The sequence below is a fragment of the Homo sapiens genome, chromosome 13 (genome assembly GCF_000001405.40).
Source record: "Homo sapiens chromosome 13, GRCh38.p14 Primary Assembly".
Taxonomy (NCBI): domain Eukaryota; kingdom Metazoa; phylum Chordata; class Mammalia; order Primates; family Hominidae; genus Homo; species Homo sapiens.
In genome coordinates, this window is record NC_000013.11 from 40,706,258 (window position 1) to 40,722,524 (window position 16,267).

General features: G+C 41.3%; 2 annotated features.

The window, feature by feature from the left end:
• Positions 337-466: a silencer, noted in NCBI's record as "silent region_5285". NCBI's record gives its function as "represses an Ori minimal core promoter by ATAC-STARR-seq in GM12878 lymphoblastoid cells {active_cell/tissue: GM12878}" and the evidence as "EXISTENCE:reporter gene assay evidence [ECO:0000049][PMID:35858748]".
• Positions 6,019-6,519: an enhancer, noted in NCBI's record as "H3K27ac hESC enhancer chr13:41286412-41286912 (GRCh37/hg19 assembly coordinates)". NCBI's record gives its function as "activates a minimal SCP1, AML or CMV promoter by ChIP-STARR-seq in naive H9 embryonic stem cells {active_cell/tissue: H9 hESC(naive)}" and the evidence as "EXISTENCE:reporter gene assay evidence [ECO:0000049][PMID:30033119]".

Genomic DNA, 16,267 nt, shown 5'->3' on the forward strand with positions numbered 1-16,267 from the left:
CAGCTTATGGTTATATAAGTTTTTAACATTAGGGGAAGCAAAGTGGTAGGTGTATGTGAACTCTGTACTATTTCTGCAACTTTTCTGTAAGTATAAAATTATTTCAGAAATAAAATAAATACATGTGCATCTACAAAATGGTAACTATGGAGAAGTGATAATGTTAATTAGCTTGACTGTGATGCTCATTTCACAATGTATATGTGTATCAACCATCAAGTTGTACACCATATATATAATTTTTGTCAATTAAAATATATAAAAATAAATTAATCCAATACAAAAATAAATTAAAAATAAGAATAAGCACCATCTGAAGCACTACTTTCATAGCGAGCATTAAAAACCACATCCTGCTGCTGCTGGCTGTGCTGAGGACTTGAACACCGTTCAGAATTTCCCCTAGCACTGTGCAGCTCTTCATCCAGAACCATGTGTTTTTGCAAAATGCTGAAACTTTTTAAAAACAATGTACATTCCACTTTTCTTCTTCTTTATTATTATTCTTTAAGTTCTGGAGTACATGTGTAGAACATGCAGGTTTGTTACACAGGTATACATGTGCCATGGTGGTTTGCTGCACCCATCAACCAGTAATCTACATTAGGTATTTCTCCTAATACTGTTCCCCCCTAGACCCCATCCCCCACAGGCCCTGGTGTGTGATGTTCCCCTCCCTGTGTCCATGTGTTCTCATTGTTCAACTCCCACTTATGAGTGAGAAAATGCGGTGTTTGGTTTTCTGTTCCTGTGTTAGTTTGCTGAGAATGATGGTTTCCAGCTTCATTCATGTCCCTGCAAAGGACATGAACTCATTCTTTTTTATGGCTGCGTAGTATTCCATGGTGTACATGTGCCACATTTTCTTTATCCAGTCTATCATTGATGGGCATTTGGGTTGGTTCCAAGACTTTGCTATTGTCAGTAGTGCTCCAATAAACAGACGTGTGCATGTGTCTTTATAGTAGAATGACTTATAATCCTTTGGGTATATACCTAGTAATGGGATTGCTGGGTCTAATGGTATTTCTGGTTCTAGATCCTTGAGGATCATCATACTGTCTTCCACTATTGTTGAACTAATTTAACACTCCCACTAACAGTGTAAAAGTGTTCCTATTTCTCCACGTCCTCTCCAGCATGTTGTTTCCTGACATTTTAATGATTGCCATTCTAACTGGCATGAGATGGTATCTCATTGTAGTTTTGATGTGCATTTCTCTAAAGACCAGTGATGATGAGCTTATTTTCATATGTTTCTTGCCCACATAAATGTCTTCTTCTGAGAAGTGTCTGTTCACATCCTTTGCCCACTTTTTTGATGGGGTTTTTTTTTCCTGTAAATTTGTTTAAGTTTCTTGTAGATTCTGGATATTAGCTCTTTGTCAGATGGATAGATTGCAAAAATTTTCTCCTATTCTGTCGGTTGACTGTTCACTCTGATGATAGTTTCTTTTGCTGTGCAGAAGCTCTTTAGTTTAATTAGCCATTTGTCAATTTTGGCTTTTGTTGCCATTGCTTTTGGTGTTTTAGTCGTGAAGTCTTTGCCCATGCCAATGTCCTGAATGGTATTGGCTAGGTTTTCTTCTAGGGTTTTTATGGTTTTAGGTCTTACATTTAAGTCTTTAATCCATCTCGAGTTGATTTTTGTATAAGGTGTAAGGAAGGGGTTTAATTTCAGTTTTCTGCATATGGCTAGTCAGTTTTCCCAACATTATTTATTAAATAGGGAATCCTTTTCCCATTGCTTGTTTTTGTCAGGTTTGTCAAAGATCAAATGGTTGTAGATGTGTGGCATTATTTCTGAGGCCTCTATTCTGTTCCATTGGTCTATCCATCTGTTTTGGTACCAGTACCATGCTGTTTTGGTTACTGTAACCTTGTAATATAGTTTGAAGTCAGGTAGCATGATGCCTCCAGCTTTGTTCTTTTTGCTTAGGATTGTCTTGGCTATACGAGCTCTTTTTTGGTTCCATCTGAAATTTAAAGTAGTTTTTTTCTAATTCTGTGAAGAAAGTCAATGGTAGCTTGATAGGGATAGTATTGAATCTATAAATTACTGTAGGCAGTATGGCCATTTTCATGATATTGATTCTTCCTATTCATGATCATGGAATGTTTTTCCATTTATTTGTGTCCTCTCTTACTTCCTTGAGCGGTGGTTTGTAGTTCTCCTTGAAGAGGTCCTTCACATCCCTTGTAAGTTGTATTCCTAGGTATTTTATTCTCTTTGTAGCAATTATGAATGGGAGTTCATTCATGATTTGGCTCTCTGTTTGTCTATTATTGGTGGATAGGAATGCTTGTGATTTTTGCACACTGATTTTGTATCCTGAGACTTTGCTGAAGTTGCTTATCAGCTTAAGGTGATTTGGGCCTGAGACAATGGGGTTTACTAAATATACAATCATGTCATCTGCAAACAGACAATTTGACTTCCTCTCTTTCGATTTGAATATCCTTTATTTCCTTCTCTTCCCTGATTGTCCTGGCCAGAACTTCCCATACTATGTTGAATAGGAGTGGTGAGAGGGCATCCTTGTCGTGTGCCGGTTTTCAAAGGGAATGCTTCCAGCTTTTGCCCATTCAGTATGACATTGTCTGTGGGTTTGTCATAAATAGCTCTTATTATTTTGAGATACATTCCATCAATACTTAGTTTATTGAGAGTTTTTAGCATGAAGCGGTGTTGAATTTTATCAAAGGCCTTTTCTGCATCTACTGAGATAATCATGTGGTTTTTGTCATTGGTTCTGTTTATGTGATGGGTTACATTTATTGATTTGCATATGTTGAACCAGCCTTGCATCCCAGGAATGAAGCTGACTTGATCGTAGTGGATAAGCTTTTTGATGTGCTGCTGGATTTGGTTTGCCAGTATTTTATTGAGGATTTTCACATCGATGTTGATCAAGGATACTTGCCTGAAATATTCTTTTTTTTGTTTTGTCTCTGCCAGGTTTTGGTATCAGGATGATGCTGGCCTCATAAAATGAGTTAGGGAGGAGTTCCTCTTTTTCTGTTGTTTGTAATAGTTTCAGAAGGAATGGTACCAGCTCCTCCTTGTACCTCTGGTAGAATTCGGCTGTGAAACTGTCTGGTCCTGGGCTTTTTTTGGTTGGTAGGCTATTAATTACTGCCTCAATTTCAGAAGTTGTTATTGGTCTATTGAGGGATTTGACGTCTTCCTGGTTTAGTCTTGGGAGGGTGTATGTGTCCAGGAATTTATCCTTCTAGATTTTCTAGTTTATTTGCATAGAGGTGTTTATAGTATTCTATGATGGCAGTTTGTATTTCTGTGGGATCAGTGGTGATATCCCCTTTATCATTTTTTATTGTGTCTATTTGATTCTTCTCTTTCTTCTTTATTAATCTGGCTAGTGATCTATCTATTTTGTTAATCTTTTCAAAAACCCAGCTCCTGGATTCATTGATGTTTTGAAGGGTTTTTCATGTCTCTATCTCCTTCAGTTCTGCTCTGATCTTAGTTATTTCTTGTCTTCTGCTAGCTTTTGAATTTGATTACTCTTGCTTCTCTAGTTCTTTAACTGTGGTGTTAGGTGTTGATTTTAGATCTTTCCCACTTTCTCCTGTTATTTCTGCCTTGATTTCGTTATTTACCCAGTAGTCGTTCAGGAGCAGGTTGTTCAGTTTCCATGTAGTTGTATGGTTTTGAGTAAGTTTCTTAATCCTGAGTTCTAATTTGATTGCACCGTGGTCTGACAGACTGTTTGTTATGATTTCCATTCTTTTGCATTTGCTGAGGAGTGCTTTACTACCAATCACGTGGTCAATCTTAGAATAAGTGCAATGTGGTGCTGAGATGAATGTATATTCTGTTGATTTGGGGTGGAGAGTTCTGTAGATGTCTATTAGGTCCACTTGGTCCAGAGCTGAGTTCAAGTCCTGAATATCTTTGTTACTTTTCTGTCTCGTTGATTTGTCTAATACTGACAGTGGGGTGTTAAAGTCTTCTACTATTATTGTGTGGGAATCTAAGTTTCTTTGTAGGTCCCTAAGAACTTGCTTTATGAATCTGGGTGCTCCTGTATTGGGTGGATATATATTTAGGATAGTTAGCTCTCCTTGTTGTATTGATACCTTTACCGTTATGTAATGCCCTTGTCTTTTTTGATCTTTGTCGGTTTAAAGTCTGTTTTATCAGAGACTAGGATTGCAACCCCTGCTTCTTTTTTTGCTTTCCATTTGCTTGGTATCCCTCTGTCCCTTTATTTTGAGCTTATGAGTCTGTTTACATTTAAGGTTAATATTGTCATGTGTGAATTTGATCCTGTCATTTTGATGCTAGCTGGTTATTTTTCCCATTAGTTGATGCAGTTTCTTCATGGTGTCAATGGTCTTTACAATTTGGTATGTTTTTGCAGTGGCTAGTATCAGTTTTTCCTTTCCATATTTAGTGCTTCCCTCAGGAGCTCTTGTAAGGCAGGGCTGGTGGTGATAGAGTCTCTCAGCATTTGCTTTTCTGTAAAGGATTTTATTTCTTTTTTGCTTATGAAGTTTAGTTTGGCTGAATATGAAATTCTGGGTTGAAAATTCTTTTCTTGAGGTGGGACGTGGTGGTTCACGCCTGAAATCCCAGCACTTTGGGAGGCCAAGGTGGGCAGATCACAAGGCCAGGAGTTCAAGACCAGCCTGGCCAACATGGTGAAACCCTGTCTCTACTAAAAATACAAAAATTAGCTGGGCATGGTGGCGCGTTCCTTTAATCCCAGGTACTCGGGAGGCTGAGGCAGGAGAATTGCTAGAACCAGGACCCAGGAGGCGGAGGTTGCAGTGAGCCGAGATTGCACCACTGCACTCCAGCCTGGGCTACAGAGCAAGACTCCGTCTCAAAAAGAAAAAAAAAAAAAAAGAAAGAAAAAAAGAAAAGAAAAAAGAAAATTCTTTTCTTTAAGAATGTTTATTGAATATTGGCCCCCACTCCCTTCTGGCTTGTAGGGTTACTGCAGAGAGATCCACTGTTAGTCTGATGGGGTTCCCTTTGTGGGTAACCTGACCTTTCTCTCTGGCTGCCTTTAACATTTTTTTCTTCATTTCAACCTTGGTGAATCTGACGATGTGTGTCTTAGGGTTGCTCTTCTTGAGGAGTATCTTTGTGGTGTTCTCTGTATTTCCTGAATTTGAATGTTGGCCTGTCTTGCTAGGTTGGTGAAGTTCTCCTGGATAATATCCTGAAGAGTGTTTTCCAACTTGGTTCTATTCTCCTTGTCACTTTCAGGTACACCAATCAAACGTAGGTTTGGTCTTTTCACATAGTCCCATAATTCGTGGAGGCTTTGTTCATTTCCTTTCATTCTTTTTTCTCTAATCTTGTCTTCACACTTTATTTCATTAAGTTGATCTTCAATCTCTGATATCCTTTCTTCTGCTTGATTGATTCGGCTATTGATACTTGTGTATTTTTCATGAAGTTCTCATGCTGTGTTTTTCAGCTCCATCAGGTCATTTATGTTCTTCTCTAAACTAGTTATTCTAGTTAGCAATTCCTCTAACCTTTTTTCAAGGTTCTTACCTTCCTTGCATTGGGTTAGAACATGCTCCTTTAGCTCGGGGGAGTTTGTTATTACCCTCCTTCTGAAGCCTACTTCTGTCAATTTGTCAAACTCAATCTCCGTCCAGTTTTGTTCCCTTGCTGACGAGGAGTTTTGATCCTTTGGAAGAGAAGAAGCATTCTGGTTTTTGGAATTTTTAGCCTTTTTATGCTGGTTTTTCATCTTCGTGGATTTATCTACCTTTGATCTTTGATGTTGGTGACCTTCAGATGGGGTTTTTGTGTGGACGTCCATTTTGTTGATGTTGATGCTATTCTTTTCTGTTTGTTAGTTTTCCTTCTAATAGTCAGACCCCTCTGCTGCAGGTCTGCTGGAGTTTGCCGACTTCCACTCCAAACCCTGTTTGCTTGGATATCACCAGTGGAGGGTGCAGAATAGCAAAGATTGCTGCCTTCCTTCCTCTGGAAGCTTCATCCCAGAGGGGCACACTCCAGATGCCAGCCAGAGCTCTCCTGTATGAGGTGTTCTGTCGACCCCTGCTAGGAGATGTCTCCCAGTCAGGAGGCACGGGGGTCTGGGACCCACTTGAGGATGCAGTCTGTCTCTTAGCAGAGCTACAGCGCTGTGCTAGGAGATCTGCTGCTCTCTTCAGAGCTGGCAGGCAGGAACATTTAAGTCTGCTGAAGCTGCGCCCACAGCTGCCCCTTCCCCCAGGTGCTCTGTCCCAGGGAGATGGGAGTTTTATCTATAAGCCCCTTACCGGGGCTGCTGCCTTTCTTTCAGAGATGCCCTGCCCAGAGAGGAGGAGTCTAGAGAGGCAGTCTGGCTACAGTGGCTTTGTGGCACCGCAGTGGGCTCCACCCAGTTTGAACTTCCCAGTGGCTTTGTTTACACTGTGAGGGGAAAACTGCCTACTCAAGCCTCAGTAATGGCGGACACCCCTTCCCCCACCAAGCTGGAGCATACCAGGTCAACTTCGGACTGCTGTGCTGGCAGCAAGAATTTCAAGCCAGTGGATCTTAGCTTGCTGGGCTCTGCTGAGCTAGAGCACATGGCTCCCTGGCTTCAGCCCCCTTTCCAGAGAGTGAACAGTTCTGTCTTGCTGGCATTCCAGGAGCCACTGGGGTATGGAAAAAAAACTCCTGCAGCTAGCTCAGTGTCTGCCCAAACGGCCACCTAGTTTTGTGCTTGAAACCCAGAGCCCTGGTGGTATAGACACCCAAGGGAATCTCCTGGTCTGAAGGTTGTGAAGACCGTGGGAAAAGCATACTATCTAGCCTGGAGTGCACCATTGCTCATGGCACAGTCCCTCACAGCTTCCCTTGGCTAGGGGAGGGAGTTCCCTGACCCCTTGCACTTTCTGGGTGAGGTGACTCCCCATCCTGCTTCTGCTCACCCTCCATGGGCTGTACCCACTGTCTAACCAGTCCCAATGAGATGAGCCGGGTACCTCAGTTGGAAATGCAGAAATCACCTGCCTTCTGCATTGATCTTGCTGGGAGCTGCAGATCAGAACTGCTCCTATTCAGCCACCTTGCCAGCCACCCCCTTCTTCTTTTATATTACGTGTTAACTGAATTCACTGTTGTTCATTCAGAGAATAATTCTTACTTGCTTAAGCTACTGGTTTATGCAAAGAGCAATATGATAAAATGGAAGGGCTCTGATCTGAGATCTGGGGTCCCATCTCAGTTCTGCCATGAATTAACTACAGAATTGCTGGCAAGGTACTCTCCCTGGGCCTCAAATTTCCACACCTATAAAATGAAAGTGTTTGGGAAAAAGATATTTTTCTTTCTCAGTTTTGAAATTCTATGCTTCATGCTTCATAATTCCGGACTCTTCTTATCTTGGCCTTCACTGCCAAGTTAGGGTAATAGCTTTGGTGTAGAAGTGACCAGAGATTATACATGCCAGTTTGGGGCTCAGTATGTCAGCACATTAACCAAAGTCAATGTATGCCTTAGAGGTAATTGGTTCTTAGTTTTCTTTTCTTTTTTCTTTTCTTTTTTTTTTTTTTTTTTTTTTTTGAGATGGAGTCTCACTCTGTCACCCAGGCTGGAGTGCAGTGGCATGGTCTCGGCTCACTGCAACCTCCACCTCGCAGGTTCAAGCAATTCTCCTGCCTCAGCCTCCTGAGTAGCTGGGATTACAGGCATCTGCTATCAAGCCCAGCTAATTTTTTTGAATTTTTAGTAGAGACAGGATTTCACCATGTTGGCCAGGCTGGTCTCAAACTCCTGACCTCAAGTGATCCACCAACCTCGGCCTCCCAAAGTGCTGGAATTACAGGTGTGATCCACCACGCCCGGCCCTGGTTTTAGTTTTCAATATTTCAGCAAGCTAATCGAAGATCTTAATCTCATTTAAATCTCTTGATTTTATACAGAGTAATAACAGTGAACACATGGTGAAATTCGGCCCATCTAACTCAGAAACTTCATTTTAGGACAATATTTCAAACTCCTTTCCCATCTAGGCATTTTTCAGTAGCAGACATGTGGCACACCTGACTCCCTTCACCTCCCTCTTAGTGAAGGTTTAGGGATTAGAGATGTACTCAAAGCCAGAACTCAGTGGCCTAAATCACCAGTCCTTGGATTACTACAAGCTCACCTAGAGTCTAAAAGAACAATTCTCCTTATGCCCATTGTGATCCTGGAAACATTACTTCTCTCCTCAGTTGCTGTTTCTCACTTAGCATCTCATTTTGGAAATCTTTGTTTCTCTGTGGCCACTAGGACATTTACTCCACTGAACTTTCTGGCTTTAATTTTTGCCCCCTCAATCAGTCCCAAATAGCCCTACTGAAGTAGCCCCAGAAACTTGCATTGCTATTCCACTCTTTCATGATTTCTCATCTACATATTAACCACTCCAACATTCCTGCATTTGTGGTCATCTTGTCAGCACATCTCGCTGACCTAAATGAAGAAATTCCTATTCCTTTTACTCCAGATTATCCATATAATTCTTCTTGAAAGCTATTCTTGGGATGTACTAAGGAAAGTACTTGACTTTTGGTGTCTGATGATGTAGGGTTTAAGTGCTGGCTGCACTACTTACTTAGGAAATTTCAAAAAGGTATTAAATTCTTATAAATGGGAATAATGCCTACTTTATAAGGTGTTTCAAAAATTCAGTGATAATGTATGTGATATACACAGCACAAGGTCAGTCTGTTGAGAAGGACCCTGCCGGTCGTGGCTATGAAGATGATAAGTACCCATGGGATGCCATGAACACAGCAGTCACCTTTGCTGACCTCAGCCACCAAACGCTAGCCCTTCCAGCTTTCCTGGATCCTGTGCTTTTTTCTGGGACAGTATGTAGTTCTCTATGTGGCTTGAGAACAGAACACTCCTTCAGATGGTTGAAGTATCTTTATTATATACATGGTCTGTGCTTTATCATACTAATTTTCTTTGTTTCAAGACAGGGTCTCGCTCTGTTGTCCAGGCTGGAGTGCAGTGGCATGATCACAGCTCACTGCAGCCTTGAACTCCCAGGCTAAAGCAATCCTCTCACCTCAGCCTCCTGAGTAGCTGGGACCACAGGCACACACTGCTAGGGCTGGCTAATTTTTAAAAATTTGTAGAGGTGGGGTCTGACTATGTTGCCCAGGCTGGTCTCAAACTCCTGGGCTCAAATGATCCTCCCACCTCGGCCTTCCAATGTGTTGGGATTACAGGTGTGAGCCACCTTGCCCAGCCCTAAATGTTTTTTCTTATGGTAAAATACACAAAAATGTACCATCCTAATCATGTTTAAGTGTGTGATTCAGTGGTGTGAAGTACATTTACATTGTTATGTAGCCATCACTACTATCCATCCCCTGAACTTTTAAAAAAATAATCCCAACAGAAAGTCTATACCCATTAAACACTAACTCTCTATTCTCCCCTACCCCCAGCCCCTGGAAACTACTTTCTGTCTCTATGAATTTGCCTATTCTAGGTTCCTCACATAAGTGGAAACATATTTGTCCTTCTGCAACTGGCTTATTTCACTTAGTATAATGTCCTTCCTCAAGGTTCATCTATGTTGTAGCATATATAAGAATTGCACTTCTTTTTCTTTTTTTTTTTTTTTTTGAGATGAAGTCTCACTCTGTCACCAGGCTGGAGTATAGTAGCATGATTTTGGCTCACTGCAACCTCTGCCTCCCAGGTGTTAAGCAATTCTCCTGCCTCAGCCTCCCCAGCAGCTGGGACTACAGGTGTGCGCCACCACGCCCAGCTAATTTTTGTATTTTTAGTCGAGGCGGGGTTTCACCATATTGGCCAGGCTGGTCTTGAACTCCTGACCTCATAATCCACCTACCTCAGCCTCCCAAAATGCTGGGATTACAGGCTTGAGGCACTATGCCCCGCCATGAATTGCACTTCTTTTTAAGGCTGAATCATACTCCATTGTACATATATACCTCATTTTGTTTATCCATTCATCCATGGATGAACATTTGGGTTGTTTCCACATTTTGGCTATTATGACTTTATCCTATTGTACATTCTGCAGCAATTTACATCTTTATTTTCAGAATTATTAAGTTTTCTCATACTAATAATATTAGGAAGAGAGTCATGAAAGACTTTGATTTGATTTCATTTCATTTTTTGGCCATTTATTCTTTTTTTTTTTTTGGCAGCCACAAAGACTGGGATTTCTAATTCTATGCTATGATAAGTGGACAATTTAAGCCATTTTTAATTTTTTTTTCTTAATTTAAGCCATTTATCTTTTTTTCCATTTCCTTTTCCAAAAAAGAAAATTTATTTTTCTAAAATATGATCATGTCAGTTTGGTCTATTTTATATGTGTTAAGGAGAGCAATAACAGACAAAAGAATAACATAACAATTAGGTATTTAGTTAAAAAAAAGAAGTCAGCCAGGCACGGTGGCTCACGCTTGTAATCTGAGTACTTTGGGAGGCCGAGGCGGGTGGATCACCTGAGGTCAGGAGTTCAAGACCAGCCTGGCCAACATGGTGAGACCCCACCTCTATTAAAAATACAAAAAATTGTACCTCTATTAAAAATACAAAAAAATACAAAAAACATGGTGGCAGATGCCTGTAATCCCAGCTACTCAGGAGGCTGAGGCAGGAGAATCACTTGAACCCAGGAGGCGGAGGTTGCAGTGAGCCGAGACAGTGCCACTTCACTCCAGCCTGGGATACAGAGTGAGACTCTGTCTCAAAACAAAACAAAATAAAACAAAAAAAAGTAGAGGATGGGGCAATAGATAGCCTACCTCTTCTTGAACCAAGTTGTGAACTGTTTAAGAAATAGATAATAGGCTGGGCGCGGTGGCTCACGCCTGTAATCCCAGCACTTTGGGATGCCAAGGCAGGCGGATCACCTGAGGTTAGGAGTTGGAGACCAGCCTGGCCAACATGGTGAGACCCAGCCTCTACTAAAAATACAGAAATTAGCTGGGCGTGGTCGTACATGCCTGTAGTCCCAGCTACTCGGGAGGCTGAGGTAGGAGAGTCACTTGAAACCAGGAGGCAGATGTTGCAATGAACTGAGATCACGCCTTTGCCCTCCAGCCTGGAGCCACAGACAAGACTCCATCTCAAAAAAATAAATAAATAAAATTAAAAATAAATAAATAAATAAATAAAGAGTATGGTATAAGGAGGCCAGAATATTACTTTTATTATGAACAAAGCTGATTTGGGAGAATGCAGCTTATCTCTACTTGCAGGCAGACGGCCATCTTAATTCTATACCCCAGAATTAAACAGTTCTTCAGCCACTCATAGACAGGTCTCCTGCAGGGAAGGAAAATTATCAACTGACATATAGTCTGATTAAATGCTTGTCTTTTATACCTGCTATTGTTTGAGTGTGTCTCCTCCAAAACTTAGGTGTTGCTAATGTGATTGATGGTATTAAGAGGTGGGGCCTTTAAAAGGTGGTTAGGCCACAAGGGCTCCTGTCTTGTGAATGGGATTAGGTGCCATAAAACGGCTTGACAGTGAGATTTCATCCCCTTCTGTCCTTCTGCCTTCTGTTCCATGAGGACACAGCATTCCTCCCCCACTCCTCAAGATGCAACAGTCAAGCCGCCAACTTGGAAGCAGAGAGACCAGACCCTCACCAGATAACTGAACCTGCTAGTGCCTTCATCTTGGATTTCCTGACTTCCAGACTTGTGAGGAAACAAATTCCCATTCTTTATAAATTACCCAGTCTGTGGTATTCTGTTATAGCAGCTTAAAACAGACTAACACAATGCCCTCAACCCACCTCTCTGCCTTGGCACCCATCACACTGTGTAGCAACAAATCTTGGCCTGTCTCTTCCCTATGAGTATGTTGCCTTCATCCATTCTTCCACTCACTCAACTGGTTTTACTGAGTGCCTATTTTGGGCCTAGCAATAGCTAGGTCTTACATTCAGGACCTCAAGAAGGGACAGAAACTCACACAACCTCAACCCTTAAGGAGATCAGCACAGAAAATACCGTAAAGGAGACAGAGTGTAGTATTAGACAATAACAAGGGCAGAGTGACTTAACAAAGCAGGAGGAGAAGACTTTCTTGGGAAATCACATTTTTGATGACACCTCAAGGTCAACGAGTACTTCAGTATACTATACTCTGGTGTCTAGTAGAGGCATAGCACGTAACAGAGCTCAGTAAATGCTTAACAAATTAATGAATGAGTGATATATGTGAAAACACTTTATATGCAGTCGAAGTACCACACAGATGTTAGCTATCATCATTTAGTTAATATGGAGAGATCTACTTTTATTCAGTTCTCTGGAACACTCAAAAAGATATTACAGCATACAACAGAGAAAACTCATTAAGAGTGTCTACTTATTTGGACATACCCAGAGTCCTGTCTTCCTAGGAGAGTGCTTGAAGCTATTAGGTGTAGGACTGAATACAGAGAAATCAGAGAACCAATCATCCCATTTCAATGTTTGACCAATCCCATTTTCCTCCATGCAAAAGCAAGAGTTCACAAAATTGAATTTTAAAATAGTGATACAATGACTTTAAAGATATTGGAAAATGAGGGAAATACATAATAAAGATTAAGTATTCTATTTCACTGATGGAAGGTAATGTTAACTAGATCTGAAAATGTAAAAGCAGCAAGCTGCCATTCCCAAATTGATAGTGGACAGTGAAGAAAATGGCTCACTTTGTATCCATTGTGGCATTGGAGTTCTGACAAGCATGTGGAATGAGACGGATAGTATTTCTGAAGCATGTAGTATGTATTAATACATTACCTCATTCAATTCTAACACTTAGAAATCCTGTGAGATGGAAATTATGCCCATCATTTACGAAGGAGGAAACAAGCTGAAAGATTGTTATGTTGACATGGCAGGGATTTGAACTGAAGTTTCTGACTCCAAAGCAGAGAAGAGAACAGAAAAAAAGCAGATAAAAATACAGGAAGGCCACTGTAGAATGTTTTTTTGTTTTGTTTTGTTTTGTTTTTGGTTTGCTTGTTTATTTTTCTGAGCCAGAGTCTTGCTCTGTCACCAGGCTGGAGTGCAGTGGCGCAATCTCAGCTCACTGCAACTTCTGCCTCCCAGGTTCAAGAGATTCTCCTCATCCTCCCGAGTAGCTGAGACTACAGGTGCGCGCCACCATGCCCAGCTAATTTTTTATTTTTCTTCTATGAAATGTATGAAATGCTATGGCATTTGCCCACTATGTTTTTGGGTTGTTTGTCTTCTACTTGATTTTTTTTTTTTTTTTGAGATGGAGTTTTGCTCTTGTCACCTCAGCCTCCCAAAGTGCTGGGATTACAGGCATGAGCCACCGCACCCAGCCCTTCTACTTGATTTTTAGGAGTTTGTTTGTTTGTTTTGGACAGAAGCTTTTTAATGCACTATTTTTTTCTCCAGGCAAAGGACCTTCAGAAAACATCCATCCATAGATTTATAAATGGTACTTTTGGCTACAGGAGTTCTTTATATTTTCTGTATACTAACCATTTAGTGATTATATGTGAACATTTCTCTTCTCCAAGTTTGATGCTTATCTTTTCACTCCTGGTTTTGCCTTTCTGATTAAAAGTTCTAAATTTTAACGTAGTCAAATTTATTCATCTTTTCTTTAGAGATTGTGCTTTTGATATCTTAAATCCTTGCCTACACCAGAGCCATAAAGATATTCTCCTATATTTTGCTTCAAGCTTTTTTTTTTTTTTTTTGAGATAGAGTTTCTCCCTCTGCTGCCCAGGCTGGAGTGCAGTGGTGTGATCTTGGCTCACTGCAACCTCCACCTCCCAGGTTCAAGTGATTCTCCTGCCTCAGCCTCCTGAATAACTGGGATTACAGGTGCACACTACCATGTCTGGCTAATTTTTTGTATTTTTAGTAGAGACAGGGTTTCACCATGTTGGCTAGGCTGGTCTTGAACTCCTGACCTCAAATGATCCGCCCACCTTGGCCTCCCAAAGTGCTGGGATTACAGGCATGAGCCACTGCACTCAGCCTGCTTCAAATATTTTAAATTTTGTTTCTCATTTAAATCATAAATCCAACGGAATTGGATTTTTTTGTATGTATGGTATGAAGCAGAGAATCCATTTTTTCCTCCTCCGTATGGATAACCAATTGTCTTTGCACCATTTATTGAATAGCCACCCTTTTCCCATTGATCTACAATGCCACCTATCTTAGTCCATTTTCTGTTGCTTATAACAGAATACCCGAAACTGGGTAATTTATAAAGAAAAAGAATTTATTTCTTAGTTATAGAAGCTGAGATGTCAAGGTCAAAGGGCCATGTCTGGTGGGAGCCTCCTTGCTGGTGGGGACTCTCTACCAAGTTCTGAAGTAGCTGAGCGTGCTCACATGCTATGCTAAAGATTCTCCCTCTTATAAAGCCACTGGTGCCCTCCCATGACAGTCCATTAATTCATTAATCCATGAGTGGATTAATACATTGAGGGCAGAGCCCTCATGATTCAATCAACTCTTAAAGGCCCCACCTCTCAATGCTGCCACATTGGGGATTAAGGGTCAACACGAGTTTTGGAGGGCACGTTCAAACCTGATATGGTTTGGCTGTGTCCCCATCCAAATCTCATCTTGAATTGTAGCTCCCATAATCTCCACATGTCATGTGAGGGACCCGATGGGAGGTAACTGAATCATGGGGGTGGGTTTTTCCCATGCTATTCTTGTGACAGTGAATAAGACTTACGAGATCTGATGGTTTTATAAAGGGCAGTTCCCTGCACACACTCTCTTGCCTGCTACCATGTAAGATGTGCCTTTGCTTCTCCTTCATCTTCCGCCATGATTGTGAGGCCTCCCCAGCCATGTGGAACTGTGAGTCCATTAAACCTCTTTTTCTTTATAAATTACCCAGTCTTGGATATTTCTTCAGAGCAGTATGAAAATGGACTAATACAAACCCATAGCACTGATTTTGTCACATATCAAATTTCCATATAATAATGTTCTATTTCTGTGTTCTCTATTCTGTTCCATCAGTCCATTTAACTATCTGTGTGTATCATGTCTAATTATTATAGCTTTATAATAAGTCTTGATAGCTTACAAGTTAGGGCAACTCCCTCACCTTGTCCTCTTTTTCGAGAGTATTTTGGTTCTTCTTGGTTCTTTGCTTCTCCCTATGATTTTACAATACATTTATGACATTCCATGACAAATCCTATTGGTGCTGGGTGTGGTGGCTCACGCCTGTAATCCCAGCACTTTGGGAAGCCGAGGCGGATGGATCACCTGAGATCAGGAGTTCAAGACCAGCCTGACCAACATGGTGAAACCCTGCCTCTACTAATAGTACAAAATTAGCCAGGCATGGTGGCACGTACCTGTAATCCAGCTACTTGGGAGGCTGAGGCAGGAGAATCACTTCAACTCAGGAGGCGGAGGTTGCAGTGAGACGAGCTTGTGCTATTGCACTCCAGCCTGGGCAACAAGAGCAAAACGCCATCTCAAAAAAGAAAAAACATCCTGTTGGAATTTTGTATGGAACTGCATTAAATCTAGAGATTAATATGGAAAAAAGTAACATCTTCATGATATTGAGCCTCTATTCTAGAACTTATTTACCCAATTAAATCTCTTTATTATTATTAATTTTTGAGACAGAGTCGTCCTGTCACCCAGGCTGCAGCACAGTGGCGTAATCTCAGCTCACTGCAACCTCAACCTCCCAGGTTCAAGTAATCCTCCCAGCTCAGCCTCTCAAGTAGCTGGGACTACAGGCATGTGCCACCATGCCCAACTAACTTTTGTTATTTTTAGTAGAGATGGGGTTTTGCCATGTTAACCCGTCTGGTCTTGAACTCCTGACCTCAGGTGATCTGCCGGCCTCGGCTTCCCAAAGTGTTGGGATTACAGGCTTGAGCCACCGTGCCCAGCCTAAATCTCTTTATTTATTTTTATTACTAACCTGTTTCATTAAAGTTTTAAAACTTCTTCATAATGTTCTTGTGTGTATATATATACACACACACACACACACACACATATACATATACACACACACATATACATATATATGTGTATATATATATATTTTTTTTTAGATGGAGTCTTGCTCTGTTGCCAGGCTGGAGTGCAGTGGCACCATCTCGGTTCACTGCAACCTCCGCCTCCCGGATTCAAGCGATTCCCCTGCCTTAGCCTTCCGAGTAGCTGGGACTACAGGCACATGCCACCACGCCCGGCTAATTTTTTGTATTTTAGTAGGGACAGGATTTCACCATGTTGGCGAGGATGGTCTCAATCTCTTGCC